This window comes from Homo sapiens, chromosome 17 (assembly GCF_000001405.40).
Source record: "Homo sapiens chromosome 17, GRCh38.p14 Primary Assembly".
NCBI lineage: Eukaryota > Metazoa > Chordata > Mammalia > Primates > Hominidae > Homo > Homo sapiens.
This window is the reverse complement of record NC_000017.11, coordinates 41,040,541-41,042,735: the sequence shown is the minus strand read 5'-3', so window position 1 is coordinate 41,042,735 and position 2,195 is coordinate 41,040,541. Positions and strand designations below refer to the sequence as shown.

Below are 2,195 nucleotides of genomic sequence, written 5' to 3'. Positions count from 1 at the left end.
ACCATTTTCAACTTCATACCTACAGTCATGGTTACCATATGACGTGAACATCTTTACTGAAGCTGGCATGAATCACATTGTGATATAACCCCATTCCTGTACAAACAAATGCCACCACCTCATAAAAAGCTAACTATGTGTTTCTATTCATGATTGGAAGGGAGAAATAAACCTACCCCAAGTAGAAATAATATGTTTTTGACCAGCCTTTTTTCATTTATCTCACGTAACCCTAAACTCCCAGTGAAAATTACATTCTTTCTTCTGGCAATGACCAGGAATTGTTTTAACTTTTATTTTGCTGAAATTTTTCTTAATCTCTTTGCATTTATTATACTACACCTCTTGAACTATATTTGGTCACCCATTTTCTAACCTGCCTTATAAAGCAGATAAAAGTATTTTCTAACTCTTGCTTTTTCTTTGATTTATTCCCTTTCCTAAATTCAGTTGTCATGCTCTTTGGTCTAATATCTTTTCACAGGACACATGGTTTAGTAACTTGAAATGACATAAATTAAAATTAAATTCTGCCTTTGAAAAATTATATGCCAGATAATCCATATACAAGTGATTTTTGTCTTTCATAGAGAAGTGTAAATTTTGTTAAAATATTTTGCAATTTTTTCCAATTACTGAATATGAATTTTAGCCTCTTTTTTAAGAGACATTGAAATTGAACAGGTTTTGTTTTATATATCCTCCTGAGTGATCAATGTTTCCTAAAATATGAATGTGAAGTTCAGGAGATATCACAGAAATTGGAAAGATTCCATTTCAGGGAAAAATCTATGAATTTCTATGAATATAGAGTTTATCAGAGTTTCTATCTGGCTAATAAGATTATATCGAGAGAGGATAATCTTATTAGTCTAAAAAATACAAAGCAGTCTTACATAAGGGCAATCATGATTAATAATTCTTTTCTGGAGACCTGAGGTTTGGTGAATATGATCTCCAAAATCACATCACCTTATGGGTGAGAGTCACTTTGTCAGGTGATATACCCACAAGTGCAAACCTGAAGCTGAAGCTCAAGTGGAAATTATACCATTGTTTGTAAACAAAATGTTAACATTTTTACCAAGGACAAACACATTTGGTGAGTATTAGCTGAGCAATAAGGAAAAATCAATTTTGAGATATATTTAAAACAATTCAGCATTTGAACCATCAGAGGGCCCTAGAAAGGCTGGTTTAAAGAGTAACAAGATAAAAATGTTGCTCGCCACAAATAGAGGAATTGGCCCAGACTTATAAAAAGCCGGCAGTGGAATAGGCAGCCATAATTCAGAAACTCCTCCAAGCAACCCAACCTTCAGATCAACTCCTGACACCATGGCCTGCTGTCAGACCAGCTTCTGTGGATTTCCCAGCTGCTCCACCAGTGGGACCTGCGGCTCCAGCTGCTGCCAGCCAAGCTGCTGTGAGACCAGCTCCTGCCAGCCACGCTGCTGTGAGACCAGCTGCTGCCAGCCAAGCTGCTGCCAGACCAGCTTCTGTGGATTTCCTAGCTTCTCAACCGGTGGGACTTGTGACTCTAGCTGCTGCCAGCCAAGCTGCTGTGAAACTAGCTGCTGCCAGCCAAGCTGCTACCAGACCAGCTCCTGCGGAACTGGCTGTGGCATTGGTGGTGGCATTGGCTATGGCCAGGAGGGCAGCAGTGGAGCTGTGAGCACCCGTATCAGGTGGTGCCGCCCAGACTGCCGTGTGGAGGGTACCTGCCTGCCCCCCTGCTGCGTGGTGAGCTGCACACCCCCATCCTGCTGCCAGCTGCACCACGCCGAGGCCTCCTGCTGCCGCCCATCCTACTGTGGACAGTCCTGTTGCCGCCCAGTCTGCTGCTGCTACTGCTCTGAGCCCACTTGTTGAAAACCTCCTTCTGCTGGGGATCCTGATAAGATGGCACCTTAAAACTAGCCAAATTAGAATCCTAACAATCTTCTGAACTCCAGTACCTATAACTGGGCTTGCAACCTCTCATCACACAGCCACATAAATTCCCTAGGAAGTAAATTCATTTACAATGGAAGACCAAAAATTTTTCCTAGACCTGGTTGTCAGCCAAAGTCCTACAATGTGAAAAGAGTTAGATACTATTTTACTATAAATATCACCTGAAATATTTCAACAGTTATTGGGACTTAAATTTAATAAAAGTTTTCATCTCTTCAATGATGAAGTTGTTGTTTGAA

General features: G+C 40.8%; 1 protein-coding gene across 1 annotated transcript; it reads left to right on the top strand.

Annotated features, from left to right (window-relative positions):
- Nucleotides 1,286-2,195, top strand: KRTAP1-1 (keratin associated protein 1-1). The gene has a single exon (NM_030967.3). The coding sequence runs from the start codon at nt 1,339-1,341 to the stop codon at nt 1,870-1,872; it is 534 nt and encodes a 177-aa protein (NP_112229.1). The 5' UTR covers nt 1,286-1,338; the 3' UTR covers nt 1,873-2,195.